The sequence below is a fragment of the Homo sapiens genome, chromosome 3, assembly GCF_000001405.40.
Source record: "Homo sapiens chromosome 3, GRCh38.p14 Primary Assembly".
Lineage (NCBI taxonomy): Eukaryota > Metazoa > Chordata > Mammalia > Primates > Hominidae > Homo > Homo sapiens.
In genome coordinates, this window is record NC_000003.12 from 16,759,669 (window position 1) to 16,781,289 (window position 21,621).

Consider the following 21,621-nt stretch of genomic DNA (forward strand, 5'->3'; position numbering starts at 1 on the left):
ACCACCTCAGGCCCATGAGGAGTACTACCAGACTATTGCTCATGTTCCCTTAGGGCTAAGGACTCTTCAGTCAGCTTATGGTGAATACTGCCTGATCTGAGACTCACCCTTCAGAGGAATGGGCTCCTGTATGGCCCAGGGCAGGTCCGGAAATGCTGTACCAGAGCCAAATCTTAGAATTGTGGACCCCAAGAGCCCTCTTTTTGCTCTACCCACCTCTGGCCAAGGTGCTACCTAAGGTGCAAGACAAAGTCCCTTAACTTTTTTCTCCACTTTTCTCAAGCAGAAAGGGTCTCACCCCACAGCCACCACAGCTGGAAATTTGCTGTGTCTCATCTGAAGCTAGCAAGTCTGAGTCTCATTCAAAGCCCTTGACACAGTACTTGGGTATTGCTGCTGGGTATTCAGGGGCCAAGGGCTCTTCAGTTAGCAGGTGATGAATTTTGCCATGACTGGGTCCTTCCATTCAAGGCAGTGGATAGCCTCGTGGCCCAGAGTGTGTCTAGAAATGTTGTCTGGGAGCTGGGGCCTGGAAAGAGGATTTCATGACTCTGACTGGTACCTTATCCTGATGTGGCTCAGCTGGTATCCAAGATGCAAGACAAAGTCCTCCCCACTCTTCCATCTCTCTTCCTCAAGTGGAAGGAAGAGGTCTCTTTTGAAGCCATGAGCTGTGCAGCCTGGCATTAGGGGAGGGTTGATGCCAGCACTCCCTTAGTTGCCCTGGCTGGTGTCTTAGTAGGTCATGTGGACCCCTAGTCCACTGTCTCTGGACCCAGTTCAGCACTAGAGCTCACCTAGGTATTACAGTCCTTATTGCCTAGACTGCCTTTCAAGTTTAGTTGGAGCCCTAGAGCACTTTAGCCTGTGGCGGTGAAGCTTATGGGAGCTAGTTCCAACTGCTGGGATTGGTGATTCCCCCCCTGGCTAGGGCTGATTTAAATGCCCCCTCCATGAGCAGGTGTCAGCTGAGTTTGGTCCAGTTTTGCTTTCTGCTGTAACAAGGGCAGCACTGAGTTCATTGCTGGCTCGCCTTCTCCCCAGGACACAGAAACACTGTCAGCACTACGCCACTGCTGCTTGGTGATGGGGAAGAGGTGGTGTCAGTGATTCAAGCCTGTTTTTCCTACCTCTTCAGTGCTTCTTTCAGCGCTATGAAGTAAAACCAGGTACTGTGAGTGTTCACCTGATTTTTGGTTCTTATGAAGGTGCTTGGCTGTGTATAGATAATTGTTACATTGGTGTCGTTGTGGGGAAGACAATCAGTGGAGACTTCTATTCTGCCATCTTGCTCCATTCCTCTCACCAGAATGCTATTTAATTTAAATTATACAGTATATAGCCTTTTGAGTTTGGCTTCTTTCACTAACAAATCTTATCCTGAATTTTACTCCATTTTAATTCTTCTTGACTTATGAAATCATACTTGTATTTAGAAACAAATCATTACAGAAGAAATATAAGAATAATTGGTAATTTGCTGGTGTACATTCTCAAGTACAATTTTAAAAATATTTCACTATATTTCTACCTAATTTTTTGATCCACTTTTTTCTTTTCTTTTTCTTTCTTTTTTTTTCTTTTTTTTTTTTTTTGAGATGGAGTCTGTCTCTGTTGCCTAGGCTCTGGAGTGCGGGGGTGCCATCTCACCTCACTGCAACCTCCACCTCCTGTCCTGGGTGTTCAAGTGATTCTCCTGCCTCAGCCTCCCGAGTAGCTGGGATTACAGGCGCCCGCCACCACATCCAGCCGGTTTTTGTATTTTAGTAGAGACAGAATTTCACCGTGTTGGCCAGGTGGGTCTCGAACTCCTGACCTCAGGTCATCCGCCCACCTGGGCCTCCCAAAGTACTGGGATTACAGGTGTGAGCCACTGTGCCTGGCCTTGATCCACTTTTTAAGTTAATTGTATAAATTTTCCAATTTTAATTTTCAAATCATAAAATCAATATGTGCTCATGTTGACAATTTAATTTGAAGAATTTTGAGGAAGTACATTCCTTAGTTTTACTCTCCAGACTTTGTGGCTACTGTCAATTTCTTGAGTATGTCTGAAGACATTTTATATGCATATGTAGGGGCATACTTTGGTGATATTGTGGGTTTGGTTCCAGGCTACTGCAGTAAAGTGAGTATCACAATAAAATGACTCACGCAAATTTTTTTCCAGTGAATATAAAAATTATGTTTATACTGCAGTAGCACTACATCTGAAAAAATACATTTACCTTAATTTAAAAAATATTTTATGGCCAAAAACTGCTAATAATTATCTGAGCCTTCAGCTAGTTGTAATCTCTGCTAGTGGAGGATCTTGTCTTGATGTTGATGGCTGCTGACTGGTCAGGCTGGTGATGTTGAAGGTTAGGTTGGTTGTGGCAATTTCACAAAATAAGACATCTTAAATTGAAGCTTGCCACATTGATTGACTCTTCCTTTCATGAAAAATTTCTCTATAGAATGTGATGCTATTTGATAACACTTTACTCAGAGTAGATCTTCTTTCAAAATTGAAGCCAATCCTTTCAAACCATGTTGCTGCTTTTTCAACTAAGTTAATGTAATATTCTAATTCCTTTGTTGTCATATCAACAATGTTTACAGCATCTTCACCAGGAGTAGATTCCATCTCAATAAACCACTTTCTTTGCTCATCCATAAGAAGTAACTCCTCATCCATTCAAGTTGCATCATGAGAATGCAGCAATTCAATCACACATTTAGGTTCCACTTCTAATTCTAGTTCTCTTGCTATTGTTTTGTTTTGTTTTTTTTTTACCATATCTGCAGTTACTTCCTCCCCTGAAGTCTTGAACCCCTCAAAGCATCCTTGAGGGTTGGAATCAACTTCCTCCAAACTTCTGTTACTGTTGATATTTTGACCTTTTCACACAGATGAATGTTCTTAATGACATCTAGAATGATGAATTCTTTCCAGAATGTTTGCAATTCATTTTACTCAGTTACATCAGATAAATCACTATCTGTGGCAGCTATAGCCTTTTGAAATGTATTTCTTAAATAATAAGATTTAAAAGTCAAAATTACTCCTTGATATATGGGCTACAGAATGGATGCTGTGTTAGCAGGCAGGAAAACAACATTAATATCCTTGTACATCTCCATTAAAACTCTTGGGTAACCAGGGGCATTGTCAATAAACAATAATATTTTGTAAGGAGTCTTTTTTTCTAAGCTGTAGGTCTCCACAGTAGGCTTAAAATATTCAGTCATGTGCAAAGATATATGCTGTCATCCAGCCTTTTTTGTCCATTTATAGAGCATAGGCAGAGTATATTTAGCATGATTCTTAAGGGTCATAGGATTTTCAAAATGGCAAATGAGCATTGGTTTCTACTTAAAATCACCAGCTGCTTTAGCCACTACCAAGAGAGTCAGTCTGACCTCTGAAGTTTTGAAGCCTGGCATTGACTTCTCCTCTTGAGCTATGAAACTTCTAGACACCATATTCTTCCAAAAGAAGGCTGTTTCATCTACACTGAAAATGTGTTGTTTAGTATAGCCACCTTCATCAATGATATTAGCTTGATCTTCTGAATAACTTACTGCAGCTTCTACATCAGAACTTGCTGCTTCACCTCACACTTTTATGTTACGGAGATAGCTACTTTCCTTAAACCTCATGAACTGATTTCTGCAGCTTCTCCAACTTTTCTTCTGCAGCTTTCCCACCTCTCTCAGCCTGCATAGAATTTAAGAGAGTTTAGGGCCTTGCTTTGGATTAGGTTTTGGCTTAAGGGAATGTTGTGATTGGTTTGATCTTCTGTATAAACCACGCAGACTTTCTCCAAATCAGCAGTAAGGGTATTTCAGAAAGGCCTTATCCATGTGTTCACTGGAGTAGCACTTTTAATTTCCTTCAAGAACTTTTCTTTTGCATTCACAACTTAGCTAATTGTTTGCCACCAGAGGCCTGGCTTTTGGCCTGTCTCAGCTTTCAATATGCCTTCCTCACTAAGCTTCATCATTTCTAGTTTTTTATTTCAAGCGAGAGACTTGTGATTCTTCCTTTCACTTGAGCCCTTAGAGGCCATTGCAGGGTTATTAACTGGGCTAATTTCAATGTCGTCTCAGGGAATAGAGAGGCCTAAGGAGGGAGAAAGAGAGAGACACACACACAGGGGAAATGGCCCGTGGGTGTGTGGCAGGCCAGGTCTTCATTAGCAACCAGAACAGTCAGTTTCCACTAATCCTTTACTATAATTCTGATGAATGTATAAGTTAAATATTAGGAACTAGGGAAACTGCTGCCTTAGTACAAGGGCTGAAATGTAAAAACAAACCCATCAAGACCCCACCTGGGCTTTCTCAGACCTTAAAGACTGATACAATGATGAAGGCATTTTTCTCTTTTTTGTTATTGTTTTTGTTTTTGAGATAGAGTTTAGCTCTTGCTGCTCAGGCTGGAGTGCAATGGCGTGATCTCAGCTCACTGCAAACTATGTCTCCTGGGTTCAAGCAATTCTCCTGTCTCAGCTTCCTGAGTAGCTTGGATCACAGGCATGCGTCACCACGCCCAGCTAATTTTGTATTTTTAGTAGAGACGGGGTTTCTCCATGTTGGTCAGGCTGGTCTCGAACTCCCGACCTCAGGTGACCAGGCCACCTTGGCATCCCAAATTGCTGGGATTACAGGCGTGAGCCTCCACTCCTGGCTGATGAAGGCATTCTTACACACATCTTGTACCAGGGCCCACTTAAGATTAAGTAATTTGTCCAGGGCTCTAAAGAAACTTTCCAGGCCCTAGAACATAGTTAAAGATTAGATTGAATGAAACACTCTTGCTGGTAGGTGCACACTCGCATGTAGACATATAACTTGAATGTATATAAGCACTGAAAAAAAACTTGTAACTCTCAGTTGATCTGATGAACTTCCCTGACCTTCTCCCTGTGGCTGCTTACAGAAATAAACTCTCTTATTTCCAGGTAATCTGCATCTCATTAATTGGACCATAAGACCAAGCAGCCACACCTCAGTTTTATCCGGGTACAAAATCTGGCAGCTCCACTGGGACAGAGCTGCCCTCAGCAGCTAGAGGCTTGTGACCTGACGGTCTTTAGGAGACTCCCAGCAGCTGCTAGGTACAGTTTGTCCTGAGGACGCTTCTGAGAACTTTCCCTGGGCAAAAGGACCACCCATCCCCTTGCTACTGGGGTAGAACAGGGGCTAGGACACTGAAGGGGTGAGTAAAACTGGATCATAAGCAGGGAGTCTATTGTCTTCCTTATCGGGGCTTGCAAAGCCATTCATTTTGGTACCCTTAAGGAGACAATAGGGCTAATTTGTACATCTACTTTGCATTTGTTTGAAATATATTTACATTTGGCTGTGAGAATCTGTTTTTGTGTGTCTGTTATCTGTTAAGTTTTGAGCACTCAAGATGGGAAACACTGTCTCTGTTCCTGCCCATCGCCCCCTAGGGAGAATTCTGGCAGATTGGAAACAATATGGTTATCCACCCATGACTAAAAAGAAATTAATCTTTTACTGTAACATAGCTTGGCCAATGTATGTTTTAGAGTCTGAAGAAAGGTGGCCAGTTTGTGGGACCTTGAACTTTCACACCATCTCTCAGTTAGAACTATTCTGCCAACGGTTGGGAAAATGGGGGGAAATGCCATATGTCCTGGCATCCATGTTACTGTATGATTAGGATGTTAAGAAAGAAGGGAATAAGTTAATGGTACAATACACTGCTAAGGTTTGTCCTGACTCCTAAGGGGAGGAAGAAAGGACTCAGAAACCCAACAGTTAATAAATGCTCTTAACCCCTATAGTAGCTACTGCTCCAGTGCTAAGGCAAGGAAAGGAAGAGTTACTGCCCCCAGAATATAAGGAAGCCGCAGAGTTAGTGTCTCCCTCTCGAACTAGGCAAGGTACTAATTTGGGGAGGTCACTGACCCTGGAGCAGGGCAATTTCCACTATGACAATACCCAGTAGGGGTTAATCAGCAAGGAGCTCTGGCTGGATATTATTGGGCCTACAATCCTTTTTCCACATCCAACTTGTTAAATTGGAAAAACATCCTTCATATAGACAGGATCCCCAGAAAATGACTGAATTATATACTACTATATTTGCTACTCATTGTAGCACATGGGCAGGTGTGTAAGCCCTCCTGAATATTATGCTCACTGCAGATGAGTGGCAGCTAGTTTTAGACAAAGCAAAAGAGGAAGTGCAACACCTTTATGATGAGGACCTAGATGATACTCCAGATTCTGATAGGGCAATCCTCTCTATGGACCCAAGTTGGTACCCTAATGAGGCCAATGCGGCTGGCATGGTTCACTTGGAACACTACAGGAGATACATATTAAAAGGCATGAAATCAGCTGGGCATGGTGGCTCATGCCTGTAACCCCAGCACTTTGGGAGGCCAAGGCGGGTGGATCACCTGAGGTCAGGAGTTCGAGATCAGCCTAACCAACATGGAGAAACCTTGTTTCTATTAAAAATACAAAATTAGCTGGGCGTGGTGGTGCATGCCTGTAATCCCAGCTATTCGGGAGGCTGAGGCAGGAGAATCACTTGAACCTGGAAGGCGGAGTTTGCAGTGAGCCGAGATCATGCCATTGCACTCCAGCCTGGGCAACAAGAGCAAAACTCCGTCTCAAACAAAAAAAAAAAGGCATGATATCTGGAATGCCTAAACCTAAGAGCTTAAACAATGTACAGCAGCTCCAATAAAAACCTAATGAGGAACCCTCTGAGTTCATGGAACATATTGTCAGGTGTTCAGAAAATATACAGACCCCTACAAGATCCTGAAAATGTCAATATGGTTAATATGACTTTCATAGGGCAAAGTACCCCTGATATCAGGAAAAAGTTCCAAAAGATAGAAGGGGCCTTTGGGACGAATGCCTCCCAATTGATTGATATTGCATTAAAGGTTTATAACAGCAGAGAAACCAGGGAAGTTAAAAACCTGTGACAGGCAACAATACTTCTAGCCACAGCAGGAGGAAATCCAAAAGGAAAGAGATTCCAAAAATGGAGAGGAAAAATAGAAAAGGATCAATGTGCTTGCTGCTGGGAAACAGGACATTGGGACAAGGTTGTCCAAAATTAAGCCAGAGTGAACCAAAATCACTGATGGGAGTTAAGCCTGGAAATGAATTTGAGGAAGATTGAAGGTGCCCAAGGCCCCCAACAGCTCCAACCCTATCTGATATTAAAATCTCCCCACAGGAGCCTGGGGTAAAATTGACAGTAAAGAAACAAAAAGTGGATTTCTTAGTCCACATTGGCACTCCTTATTCAGTGGTTAACACCCCAGTAACTGGACTTTCTAATACTTCTGTTAATGTGGTTGGGATAAGCAGAGAACTAAGATCGGAATGGTTCCTGTGTCCCCTCTCTTGTAAAGTGGGCAATGAATTAATACTCTTAAATTCCTTTATGTGCCAGAGTTCCCAGTCCCTTTACTTGGCAGAGACCTGCTATGTACCTGCTATGTAAGTCTGTAATCCCGAGAAACACCAGATGTGTCTCCCAAGTGCCTCTGGAACATGGGTTTCAGCTGCAGGCGCTCCTAACAGACTCAGAGGCTTCCAACTCTAAAACAGGGACTATTCCACAGGAAATCCTTGACAAGGTAAGCTCAGAGATTTGGGCTTCACATGGGCCCAGGAAGGCCATCAGTGTGGACCCAGTGAAAATTAAAATTAAGGAAGGAGCCTAGCCAGTCCAGAAGAAACAATACACTTTAAAAAGAGAAGCACTAGAAGGCATTCAACCAGTCTTTGTCCAGTTCTTGTAGTATGGCCTAATAGTACCCCATCATTCTCCTTACAACACTCCAATTTTGCTGGTGAAAAAGCCTCACTCACACAAATTTTAATTTGTACAAGATTTAAGGGCAATTAATGACATTGTAGAAGATGTACATCCCACTGTAGCTAACCCATGTACTGTGTTTATTTCTCTTCCTGGAGATCGTGAATGGTTTACAGTATTGGATTTAAAGGATGCTTTCTTTTGCATACCTGTACGCATAGAAAGTCAATTGCGGTGTGTCTTTGAATGGACAGATCCTGAAGCCGCAACTCAGTTTCAGTGTTATTGGATTGTGTTCCCACATGGGTTTAAAAACTCTCCAACTATATTCGGAGAAGTCTTGGCTCAAGACTCAAGAAGTTTACAATTGGAAAATGGGGTGTTGTTAGAATACATGGATGATTTACTAATATCTAGCCCCTGTGAATGGGGATGTCAAAATAATACCATTAAAACTCCAAATCACCTAGCAACCCATGGGTACAAGGTTTCAAGTAAAAAGGCTCAAATATGCAGAAAAACTGTGGGGTACTTAGGGTTTCTCTTGCAGAAGGGAACCAGAGCCTCGATGGTGGAAACATGAAATGCAATTGCCTCCATCACCACACCCTCTACTAGAAGACAGCTGAGAGGATTTCTGGGTATGGCAGGGTTTTGTTGCATTTGGATTCCTAACTATGGACTGCCAGCAAAGCCACTATATGAGCTGTTGAAAGGGGCTGACAATGATCCCTTCAACTGGGAAGTGAAACAAACACCAACATGCATTCAAACAACTGAATGTAAGTTAATTTCTGCACCAGTCTTGGGGCTTCCAAATCCTCACAAGCTCTTTCAACTGTACAATCATGAGAGACTGGGTCTGGCACTCAGGGTCCTCTCCCAAAAGTTAGGAGAAATATTACAGCCAGTAGCTTACTTTTCTAAGCAGCTGGTGACTGTGGCCAAAGGCTGCCCACCCCCTTGTTTAAGGGCAGTCTCTGCCACCAGCCTGCTGTTAAAGGAAGCTGAGAAGCTAACTTTGGGACAGCCTGTCACAGTCTATGTGCCTTGCCAAGTGCTGGTGCCACTGGAACAAAAGGGAGACTATTGGCTGACAGCAGCAAGTTAGGCAAATGCCAGGCCATTTTTAAATGACCCCACAGTGAAATTACAAACCACCAGAGCCCTGAACCCAGCTACTTTACTTCTTCCTACCAAAGAACCAAAACAACCTATGCATAATTGTTTATAAGTTATTGATCAAGTATTTTCCAGCCATCCTGATTTGAAGAATACAGCCACGCTGCATGTAGATTGGACATTTTTCATAGATGGGAGCAGCCTGGTAACCAATGGAAGAAAGAATGCTGTATATGCTATGGTGACCTCTTAAGAGGTAGCAGAGGCAAGGACTTTACGTGGGAACCTCTGCACAGAAGGCAGAGCAAATCACCCTTATAAGAGCCTGCAGTTGTCCCAAGGTAAAAACACCAACATCTATGCTGATTCTAACTCTAAATATGCATTCATGATAGTCCATGCTCATGGGGACATTTGGAAGGAGAGGGGATTACTGAAGGCTGTCAATACTGAAATTAAATATGCCACACAAGTACTGGAATTACTAGAAGCAATAAAGGCTCTACAGGTGGTTGCTGTAATGCATTGTCTTGGCCATCAACACAGCAATTTCAAAATAGCAAAGGGAATGCCTTTGCAGACCACACTGCCTGGCACTTAGCCAGCATTGAATTCCAGACACCTCTAATTCCTCAAATAGATTTAACAGGCTTTAGGCCCCAATATAGTCCTTGAATGAGAAAAGTGCAGAAAGCAAGGGAGTTGCTTTAAATAAGGAAGGCTTGAAAGTAAATAACAAGGGCCTAATTTGGATACCGGCTCAACTTGTCCATCCAATGTTAAAGTATATCCATGATAGCACACACTATGGGTGAGAGTGTTCATTAGCCTTCATTCAGTGGTATTAGAGAGGGAAAGGGCTAAAAGCTAATTTGGAAAATACAGTCCAGTGCTGTTATCTGTGTGCTAGAAATGAACTTAACAATCACAGTTGAGGACAACCCAGACATCAAAACAGAGGAAAATACCCACTGGAAAATTGGCAAATAGACTTTCCTCAAATGCCACCCTCCCGTGGAGGATACAAATACCTCTTAGTTCTAGTAGACACCTTCTCTGGCTGGGTAGAGGCTCACAGAATGAGCAACTGAAGTAATTAAAGTTTTCTTAAAGGAAATCATACCTCAGTATGGGCTTCTGGACATAATTCAAAGCGATAATGGGCCCTCATTCACATCTGACATAACTCAATAAGTAAATAAGGCACTTGGAATAAAATGGAAACTACATTCGGTGTGGAGACCTCAATCTTCCGGACAGATGGAAAGAATGAATCTAACACTGAAAACAATCATTGCCAAACTGTGCTGGGAAACCCAGTTAAAGGGAATTCAGGTACTCGGCATTGCACTGCTCCGGGTAAGGGTAACCCCCAAAGTGGGATTAAGTCTCGTCTCTACAAAATTATATTTGGGAGACCCTTTGCTGCTAATCCATCTCGGGTTACTGAGGCACCCCTTAACAGGGAGTTAACTATTAAAAACTGTGTTACTCACTTGGGACAAACTCTTAACCTTTTGCATAAATTTAACAGGAGCATTGTGAACTCTGAAGAACTGTGCCACACATTCCAGCCCGGTGATCAAGTGCTATTAAAAGAATGGAAAGAAACAGACCCTGCTTCCCAGCTGCAGGAGAAATACAAAGGGCCCTATGATGTGCTGCTAAGCACCAGTTCAGCACTGAAACTGGTGGACATCAAGCCATGGATCCACTACACACGATTGAAAAAGTTCCTGCAAGAAGAAACATCCACGACAGAGGACACCAAGGCCACCGAATGGGAGATGGAACCCCTGGAAGGCCTAAGATTTCTGTTCAACAAATGACAAGATTTTCCCTTATAATATTTTTCCTTTCTGCTCCTTTTGTTGTTAATGCCTCTACCTCTAACGTTTTCCTACAATGGGCACACAGTTATGCAGATGGCTTACAACAAGGAGACCCTTGCTGGGTCTGTGGTTCGTTACCCGTCACTAACACCATGGAGCTACCTTGGTGGGTCTCCCCGCTACAAGGGAAAGACTGGGTTTTTTTTCAAAGCTTTATAGGGGATCTTAAACAATGGACAGGGGCACAGATGACTGGGGTAACTAGAAAAAACATTTCAGAATGGCCTATAAATAAAACTTTAAATGAGCCAGGGCATGATAAACCATTCTCAGTAAATGAGACAAGGGATAAAGTAATAGCCTTTGCCATCCCCTTGTTGGATACCAAGGTGTTTGTCCAGACTTCCAGACCTCAGAACACTCAATATAGAAATGGGTTTCTCCAGATATGGGACGGGTTCATTTGGCTGACAGCCACTAAGGGACACTTAAGCCAGATAGCTCCCTTATGCTGGGAGCAAAGAAATCACTCCCTTGATAACTGGCCAAACACAACTCGTGTTATGGGATGGATTCCACCTGGACAGTGCCGACATACTATACTGTTACAACAGAGGGACCTATTTGCCACAGACTGGTCTCAGCAACCTGGCTTGAATTGGTATGCTCCCAACGGAACCCAGTGGCTCTGCAGCCCAAACTTATGGCCTTGGCTTCCCTCAGGTTGGTTAGGATGCTGCACTCTAGGTATTCCCTGGGCACAAGGACGCTGGGTAAAAACCATGGAAGTCTATCCTTATCTTCCACATGTGGTTAACCAAGGGACTAGGGCCATTGTTCACAGGAATGATCACCTACCCACAATCTTTATGCCCTCAGTAGGTTTAGGAACTGTAATACAGCACATAGAGGCTCTAGCCAATTTTACCCAACGGGCCCTAAATGACAGCCTCCAAAGTATTTCTCTCATGAATGCTGAAGTGTATTATATGCACGAGGACATCTTACAAAACCGAATGGCCCTAGATATTTTAACTGCGGCTGAAGGAGGAACCTGTGCCCTCATCAAAACTGAATGTTGTGTGTATATTCCCAATAACTCTAGAAACATTTCCTTGGCCTTAGAGGATACATGTCGGCAAATCCAAGTCATCTCCAGCTCTGCACTGTCACTCCATGACTGGATAGCATCTCAGTTTAGTGGAAGACCTTCCTGGTGGCAGAAAATCCTCATTGTCCTTGCCACCCTCTGGAGCGTAGGCATAGCACTGTGTTGTGGACTGTATTTTTGTCGCATGTTTTCCCAACACATTCCCCAAACTCATTCGATTATATTTCAACAGGAACTTCCCTTGAGCCCCCCAAGTCAGGAGCATTACCAGAGCCAAAGAGACATCTTCCACTCTAACGCCCCCTGACAACGACCCTATTCAGCAGGAAGTAGCCAGAGAGACTACGTAGCCCATTTCTCTTTAGTCTGCTATGTTATAGTTTACACTTTTGTACTAATCTTTAATGAATTAATCTTAAAAAAAGTAACTGACATGATAGGAATCATGCACAAATTGTGGGGACTGTGGCAGGCCAGGTCTCCGTTAGCAACCAGAACAGTCAGTTTCCACTAACCCTCTACTGTAATTCTGATGAATGTGTAAATTAAACATTAGTAGTTGGAGAAACTGGTGCCTTAATACAAGGGCTGAAATGTGAAGACAAACCCATTAAGACCCCACCTGGGTTTTCTCAGACCTTAAACCCTGATAAAATAATGAAGGCATTTTTACACACACCTTGTACAAGGGCCCACTTAAGATTAAGTAATCTTTCCAAGGTTCTAAAGAAACTTTCCAGACCCCAGACCCTAGTTAAAGATTAGATTGAGTGAAACACCCCTAATGGCAGGTGCACACCACATGTAGGCATATAGCTTGAATGTATATAAGGCCTGAAGAAAAACTTGTAATTTTGAGTGGTCTGGTGAACTTCCCTGACCTTCTCCCTGTGGCCGGTTACAGAAGTAAACCCTCTTCTTTACCAGTCTGTCCACATCTCATTAATTAGACCATGAGACCAAGCAGCCAGACCCGTTTTGTCCAGGTACAGGTGGAGCAGTTGGAACATACACATTTATCAATTAAGTTCACCATCCTGTATAGACATGATTCGTGGTGTCCCAAAACAATTATGATAGTAACATGAAAGATCACTGATTACAGATCATCATAATAGGTGTAACAATAATGAAAGCTTGGAATATTGCAGGAAGCACCAAAACATGACAGAGACAGGAAGTGAGCACATGCTGTTAGAAAAATGGTGCTGAATGCAGGTTGCCACAAACCTCCCTTTTTTTTTTTTAAATGCAGTGTCTGTGAAATGCAATATAGCAAAGTGCAATAAAAAAGGCATGCCTGCATATATCCTCTTCTTCATATGTAACAAGATAATATACAAACTTCACTGTCCCTTTTTTACTTACTGGCAGAGACTGCTGGTTATTACCAGTATCTATTCTCTACTTCTTCCTTCATAATAAAGCCTCAGACTTACAGCAGAGTATATGGCTGCCCAGAATAAAGAATATATTTCATAGTTTGTGTGGCAGGAACACTTGGTCCTGTGACTAAATTCTGGCCAATGAGATGTAAACACCAGTACAATGTGGCTGCTGGTACACGTTCTTTTCTTCTTCTTTTGCTGTCATCCTCATGCCTGGGATGCAGATATTATTTCTGAAGTTCTATTCCCTATCTTTGCCTATGAAGACAAGGGCCACATCACAGGGAAGATAGAGCACTGACCTAGGTGGGTCTCAGGCCCTCAAGAGCTTCATGGAGCAGAGCTGCTACACTAACTCCCTACATCCACAGTTATAAACAAGACAGAAATGACTCATCATCAAATAAAATCATGGAATCAAAACTTTTAAGTGTTGATCTTGTAATTTTTTTCATTTTGTTCTTTTTCATAAAGTGTGCAACATTGTGTTTGAGAGTGCCAGTTTCAAATCACATGTGTTTTCAAATGACATGAAGAATAGCTATAAAGACAGTTGGTTTATTATACTAAATTTGTAAATTTAGTACAAAGGAGAGAGTGTACTATTGAGAGGTGACAGCGTGCTGGCAGCCCTTACAGCCCTCGCTTGCTCTCGGTGCCTCCTCTGCCTGGGCTCCCACTTTGGCGGCATTTGAGAAGCCCTTCAGCCCACTGCTGCACTGTGGGAGCCCCTTTCTGGGCTGGCCAAGGCCGGAGCTGGCTCCCTCAGCTTGCAGGGAGGTGTGGAGTGAGAGGCAGGAGCAGGAACCGGGGCTGCGGGCGGCGCTTGCGGGCCAGCTGGAGTTCTGGGTGGGCGTGAGCTTGGCGGGCCCGCACTTGGAGCAGCCAGCCGGCCCTGCTGGCCCCGGGCAATAAGGGGCTTAGCACCAGGGCCAGCGGCTGCGGAGGGTGTAATGGGTCCCCCAGCAGTGCCAGCCCACCAGCACTGTGCTCGATTTCTCACTGGGCCTTAGCTGCCTTCCCATGGGACAGGGCTCAGGACCTGCAGCCTGCCATGCCTGAGCCTCCCACCCACTCCATGGGCTCCCGTGTGGCCCCAGTCTCCCTGATAAGTGCCGCCCCCTGCTCCACGGCACCCAGTCCCATCGACCACCCAAGGGCTGAGGAGTGCGGGCGCACGGCACGGGACTGGCAGGCACCTCCACCTGCAGCCCCAGTGCGGCATCCACTGGATGAAGCCAGCTGGGCTCCCGAGTCTGGTAGGGATGTGGAGAACCTTTATGTCTAGCTCAGGGATTGTAAATACACCAATCAGCACCCTGTGTCTACCTCAGGGTTTGTGAATGCACCAATCAACACTCTGTATCCAGCTACTCTGGTGGGGCCTTGGAGAACCTTTATGTCTAGCTCAGGGATTGTAAATACACCAATCAGCACTCTGTATCTAGCTCAAGGTTTATAAACACACCAATCGGCACCCTGTGTCTAGCTCAGGGTTTGTGAATGCACCAATCGACACTCTGTATCTAGCTGCTACTCTGGTGGGGCCTTGGGGAACCTTTGCGTCCACACTCTGTATCTAGCTAATCTGGTGGGAGGTGGAGAACCTTTGTATCTAGCTCAGGGATTGTAAATGCACCAATCAGCTCCCTGTCAAAACAGACCACTGGGCTCTACCAATCAGCAGGATGTGGGTGGGGCCAGATAAAAGAATAAAAGCAGGCTGCCTGAGTCAGCAGTGGCAACCCGCTCGGGTCCCCTTCTACACCGTGGAAGCTTTGTTGTTTCACTCTTTGCAATAAGTCTTGCTACTGCTCACTCTTTGAGTCCACACTGCTTTTATGAGCTGTAACACTCACCACGAAGGTCTGCAGCTTCACTCCTGAAGCCACAGAGACCACAAGCCCACCGGGAGGAACGAATAATTCCAGACGCGCTGCCTTAAGAGCTGTAACACTCACCGCGAAGGTCTGCAGCTTCACTCCTGAGCCAGCGAGACCACAAACCCACCAGAAGGAAGAAACTCCCAACACATCCGAACATCAGAAGGAACAAAACTCCAGACGCGCCACCTTAAGAGCTGTAACACTCACCGAGAGGGTCCGCGGCTTCATTCTTGAAGTTAGTGAGACCAAGAACCCACCAATTCCGGACACACTATTACTGGGACTGGAAGGTTCCCCCAAGACACAGCAACGGGTTTGTTGGCTGTCAGGTAGAGACCCATAGCTGGGCTTTTATGAGGGAAATACTCTTGGAGACCATCGGCTAACACCCCTCACCTCCAATTTACAAATGAAGACACCGTATCCCACAGAGTTTCAGGTAGCCTGCCTTAAACGGCAGAACCTGTTTTACGGTCTAGCTGCAGCTTCATTCCATGATTGGGTCAAATCATGTCTTCTTTAGCCTCAGTTTCTTTACCTGTGATAGGAGATACATGACAATCTTGCAGAGATGTTATAAGTATTAAATAGGCATTTTCATATCCCTACACAATCCCTAGCACAGAGGTGCTCAAAAATAGCCCTTTCCTCCCTTGACTGCCCTGCCCCAAGATTTTGTGGCACCCAAACTTCCACATGCCTCCTTCTTCAGCTGTTATGTCCTCCTAAATAGTCTCAAAGGATTGTTTGCTGAGGGATTTGGCTCTTCAACTTCTAGACACAGGATCAAATTCCTCCCATGTAAATCTGCAGCATTAATTCTTAAGTAAGATCTCCACAAATGTGATAAACTCATGATTAAGGACTAGCTTCAGCAACAACAGCGGTAAAGCTGATATCAGCAGGTGTTTGAAGCCCAGTGCTTGGCTGAGTGTTCTTCGTTAATCCCTGATTTCAAAGAAAGAAATTATCTTTGCCTATTTACTTTGCCTGAGTGGTTTGCTCAGGTCAGCAGAATCCTATTAATTATAGAATTGGACAAATATTAGCTCTCTCTAAAGCTTCTTGCTGTGCTGAAACTTTATGTCTTAGAGTGTTAGTTTAGATAGTTTCTGAATTGGATTGGAGGCATTATACAGGCTTAGGCTATATGGTAGTTTTATACGCTCTCTTAAACTCAATGTATTATGGTTTATTACCTCCATAAATTTTCCTAACATCAGCTTTTCCTTAACCATCTTCTTTGGCCATTTGCATCTTACTGATGACTACTTTCTTTGTTTCTAAATAGTGAGTCCGTTTAGGGTAGGCCTCAAATTGTGAGCTTTGTCCTCTGCAATACTTAAAACAAGTGCTTTACTTATAGTAGGTGCTGAATGAATAAGTGATTGGATAAAGAAACAAATTAACAACACATGGACACAGGGAGGGGAACAACACACACTGGGGCCTGTCAGGGGAGGGTGGGGGAAGGGAGGAGAGCATTAGGGAAAAGAGCTAATGCATGCTGGGCTTAATACCTAGGTGATGGGTGATTGGTGTAGCAAACCACCATGGCACACGTTTACCTATGTAACACACCCGCACATCCTGCACATGTACCCCAGAACTTAAAAAAATAAAATAAAATATAAGCACATAAATATTCAAAAAAGGAACACTGAAAATAAATATCCATTAAATCTTAAAAAAAACAAATGAACAAGCAAATAGGTTTTTCTCAGGGTTTTGTTTCATATATTAAATATATTCAGCCATGTCACAAAAGAAATTTGTGGATTTAAGAGATCATAATCCCATCATGAAAGACCTTTCTTTAAACTCTATTTTTAAGAACTGAGTTCAATATTAATTAAGAATAAGCTTAGCAGAGACTGAGAGGAAGCTTAAAATAACAGTGACTTGAACAAAAGTGTAATTCAGTATAATTTTTTTCTCATATTGAGGAAGCTCAGAGGTCTATCTCCAGGACTGGTATGGCCCCATGATGACAGGCACTCAGGCTTCTTTCACCTTCTAGTACTGCTAGCCTCAAAATGTGGCTTCTACTTCATGGTCTAAAGTGGTTGCTCAAACTCCTGCCATCATGTCAGAATTCTCACCTGATGGAAAAATGAAGAATACACTCTCTTCTTTAAAAATACTTCCTGGAAGTTGCTTCCACTATTTCTGCTTGCACTTCATTGGCCAGAACTCATTCACAAGGGAGTCCAGGAAATGTAATTTTTATCTTGGGCGCCGTGTGCCTGCCTAGAATCAGGGGTCCTATTGCCAAAGGAAGAAGGATAGAAGCAATATTGGGGGATGAAGAAGAGTCTCAGGCAGTTTTCCATTGCTGTTTGGATAAAGTATGAACTCATTGTTATGCTCCACAAGGCTCTCATCAGAGAGCCTTGTGTGTTTACTCACTGCTTGGTCTCTGGGCTCATCTCTCGTTTCTCATTTATATTGTTTTATCTCTGTTTTCCTACTTTCATTTTCTCTAAAGGGTGGGCTCTATCCCACCCCAATGCCTTTGCACAAGCTCTCACTGCTGAGATTTAAGAATCCTGGATTAAGCTCTCTGTCCACATAATATTTTTTCATAACATCTCATACTTTCTCTTTGTAGCACCTACCACAATTACAACTATAAATTATTTATGTAATGATTTACTTTATATCTATCTCTCTGATTAATCTATAAGTAGTATAAGTGCAGGGACTTTGTTTTGTTCATGCCTATATTTCCAGTGTCAAACATAGTATTTGGCACAAATTAGACACTTAATAACTCTTTGCTGGGTAAATGAGTGAACTTTCTAATAGAATTCTCTCATTTTACAAATGAGGTAATAGTTTAACCAGAGTATTCGAAGAATATGGATTCTAGCTTCCTGAATTAGTTACAATGAAGGTTTAAACTGATATTAAAAGTCTTACTAAAACATTCCAGTCTAATTATTTCCTGCCTTAGTAAGGACAATGCATCAAGTAATACTTACTCTTCCTTTGATGGTCAAAGGAAGGTTAACATGCCTGAGGGTCAGTATTATAACTATTGATCAGCACTGACCAAAACCACAAATGCGGAACAAGAAAGCAATCGTGTGGAACCTGTGTGACTCTGGGATTAGCCTAGAAATTTCTCTTAAACAGATCAATTCAACAAGAAGAGCTAACTATCCTAAATATATATGCACCCAATACAGGAGCACCCAGATTCATTAAGCAAGTCCTTAGAGACCTACAAAGAGACTTAGACTCCCACACAATAATAATGGGAGACTTTAACACCCCACTGTCAACATTAGAGAGATCCACGAGACAGAAAGTTAACAAGGATATCCAGGAATTGAACTCAGCTCTGCATCAAGTGGACCTAATAGACATCTACAGAACTCTCCACCCCAAATCAATAGAATATACATTCTTCTCAGCACCACATCGCACTTATTCCAAAATTGACCACATAGTTGGAAGTAAAGCACTCCTCAGCAAATGTAAAAGAACAGAAATTATAACAAACTGTCTCTCAGACCACAGTGCAATCAAACTAGAACGCAGGATTAAGAAATTCACTCAAGGCTGGGTGTGGTGGCTCACGCCTGTAATCCCAGCACTTTGGGAGGCCAAGGCGGGCAGATCATGAGGCCAGGAGATTGAGACCATCCTGGCTAACATGGTGAAACCCCGTCTCTACTAAAAACACAAAAAATTAGCCGGGTGTGGTGGTGGGCGCCTGTAGTCCCAGCTGCTCGGGAGGCTGAGGCAAGAGAATGGTGCGAACCTGGGACCAGAGCTTTCAGTGAGCTGAGATCCCGCCACTGCACCCCAGCCTGGGTGACAGAGCGAGACTCCATCTCAAAAAAAAAAAAAAAAAAGAAACTCACTCAAAACTGCTCAACTACATGAAAACCGAACAACCTGCTCCTGAATGACTACTGGGGACATAAAGAAATGAAGGCAGAAATAAAGATGTTCTTTGAAACCAATGAGAACAAAGACACAACATACCAGAATCTCTGGGACACATTTAAAGCAGTGTGTAGAGGGAAATTTATAGCACTAAATGCCCACAAGAGAAAGCAGGAAAGATCTAAAATTGTCACCCTAACACCACAATTAAAAGAACTAGAGAAGCAAGAGCAAACACATTCAAAAGCCAGCAGAAGGCAAGAAATAACTAAGATCAGAGCAGAATTGAAGGAGATAAAGTCACAAAAAACCCTTCAAAAAATCAGTGACTCGAGGAGCTGGTTTTTGAAAAGATCAACAAAATTGATAAACCGCTAGCAAGACTAATAAAGAAGAAAAGAGAGAAGAATCGAATAGACGCAATAAAAAATGATAAAGGGGATATCACCACCGATCCCACAGAAATGCAAACTACCGTCAGAAAATACTATAAACACCTCTATGCAAATAAACTAGAAAATCTAGAAGAAAAGGACAAATTCCTGGACACATACACCCTCCCAAGACTAAACCAGGAAGAAGTTGAATCCCTGAATAGACCAATAACAGGCTCTGAAATTGAGGCAATAATTAAGAGCCTACCAAGCAAAAAAATCCAGGACCAGACGGATGCACAGCCAAATTCTACCAGAGGTACAAAGAGGAGCTGATACCATTCCTTCTGAAACTATTCCAATCAATAGAAAAAAAGGGAATCCTCCCTAACTCATTTTAAGAGGCCACCATCTTCGTGATACCAAAGCCTGGCAGAGACACAACAAAAAAAGAGAATTTTAGACCAATATCCCTGATGAACATTGATGCAAAAATTCTCAATAAAATACTGGCAAACCAAATCCAGCAACACATCAAAAAGCTTATCCACCATGATCAAGTGGGCTTCATCCCTGGGATGCAAGACTGGTTCAACATACACAAATCGATAAATGTAATCCATCATATAAACAGAACCAAAGACAAAAACCACATGATTATCTCAATAGATGCAGTAAAGGCCTTCGACAAAATTCAACAGCCTTTCATGCTAAAAACTCTCAATAAATTAGGTATTGACGGGACGTATCTCAAAACAATAAGAGCTATTTATGACAAACCCACAGCCTATATCATGCTGAATGGGCAAAAACTGGAAGCATTCCCTTTGAAAATGGGCACAAGACAGGGATGCCCTCTCTCACCACTCCTATTCAACATAGTGTTGGAAGTTCTGGCCAGGGCAATCAGGCAGGAGAAAGAAATAAAGGGTATTCAATTAGGAAAAGAGGAAGTCAAATTGTCCCTGTTTGCAGATGACATGGTTATATATTTAGAAAACCCCATCGTCTCAGCCCAAAATCTCCTTAAGCTCATAAGCAACTTCAGCAAAGTCTCAGGATACAAAGTCAATTTGCAAAAATCACAAGCATTCCTATACACCAATAACAGACAAACAGAGAGCCAAATCATGAGTGAACTCTCATTCACAATTGCTTAAAAGAGAATAAAATACCTAGGAATTCAACTTACAAGGGATGTGAAGGACCACTTCAAGGAGAACTACAAACCACTGCTCAACAAAATAAAAGAGGACACAAACAAATGGAAGAACATTCCATGCTCATGGATAGGAAGAATCAGTATCGTGAAAATGGCCATACTGCCCAAGGTAATTTATAGATTCAATGCCATCCTCATCAAGCTACCAATGACTTTCTTCACAGAATTGGAAAAAACTACTTTAAACTTCATGTGGAACCAAAAAAGACTCCACATTGCCAAGACAATCCTAAGCCAAAAGAACAAACCTGGAGGCATCATGCTACCTGACTTCAAACTATACTACAAGGCTACAGTAACCAAAACAGCATGGTACTGGTACCAAAACAGAGATATAGACCAATGGAACAGAACAGAGCCCTCAGAAATAATACCACACATCTACAACCATCTGATCTTTGACAAACCTGACAAAAAACAAGAAATAGGGGAAGGATTCCCTATTTAATAAACGGTGCTGGGAAAACTGGCTAGCCATATGTAGAAAGCTGAAACTGAATCCCTTCCTTACGCCTTATACAAAAATTAATTCAAGATGGATTAAAGACTTAAATATCAGATCTAAAATCATAAAAACCCTGAAGAAAACCTAGGCAATACCATTCAGGACATAGGCATGGGCAAGGACTTCATGTCTAAAACACCAAAAGCAATGGCAACAAAAGCCAAAATTGGCAAATGGGATCTAATTAAACTAAAGAGCTTCTGCACAGCAAAAGGAACGACCATCAGAGTGAACAGGCAACCTACAGAATGAGAGAAAATTTTTGCAATCTACTCATCTGACAAAGGGCTAATATCCAGAATCTACAAAGAACTTAAATTTATGAGAAAAAATCAAACAACCCCATCAAAAAGTGGGTGAAGGATATGAACAGATACTTCTCAAAAGAAGACATTTATGCAGCCAACAGACACATGAAAAAATGCTCATCGCTGGCCATCAGAGAAATGCAAATCAAAACCACAATAAAATACCATC

General features: G+C 42.8%; 1 long non-coding RNA gene across 6 annotated transcripts in view, besides 1 other annotated feature; it reads left to right on the plus strand.

Annotated features, from left to right (window-relative positions):
- PLCL2UT (PLCL2 upstream transcript) overlaps positions 1-13,683 on the plus strand; it is a 49,186-nt gene extending 35,503 nt beyond the window's left edge. For 4 of the 6 annotated variants that reach the window (NR_199589.1, NR_199588.1, NR_199587.1 and 1 more), the window contains 2 exons: positions 4,950-5,206; positions 10,464-13,683. This is a non-coding gene — a long non-coding RNA (PLCL2 upstream transcript). Of the gene's footprint in view, positions 1-4,949; positions 5,207-7,438; positions 7,626-10,463 lie in introns of all 6 variants that reach the window. The other 2 variants (NR_199590.1, NR_199581.1) reach the window with 2 other exon arrangements.
- Positions 9,153-9,727: an enhancer, noted in NCBI's record as "OCT4-NANOG hESC enhancer chr3:16810328-16810902 (GRCh37/hg19 assembly coordinates)". NCBI's record gives its function as "activates a minimal SCP1, AML or CMV promoter by ChIP-STARR-seq in naive H9 embryonic stem cells {active_cell/tissue: H9 hESC(naive)}" and the evidence as "EXISTENCE:reporter gene assay evidence [ECO:0000049][PMID:30033119]".
- Positions 13,684-21,621: the final 7,938 nt, after the last annotated feature.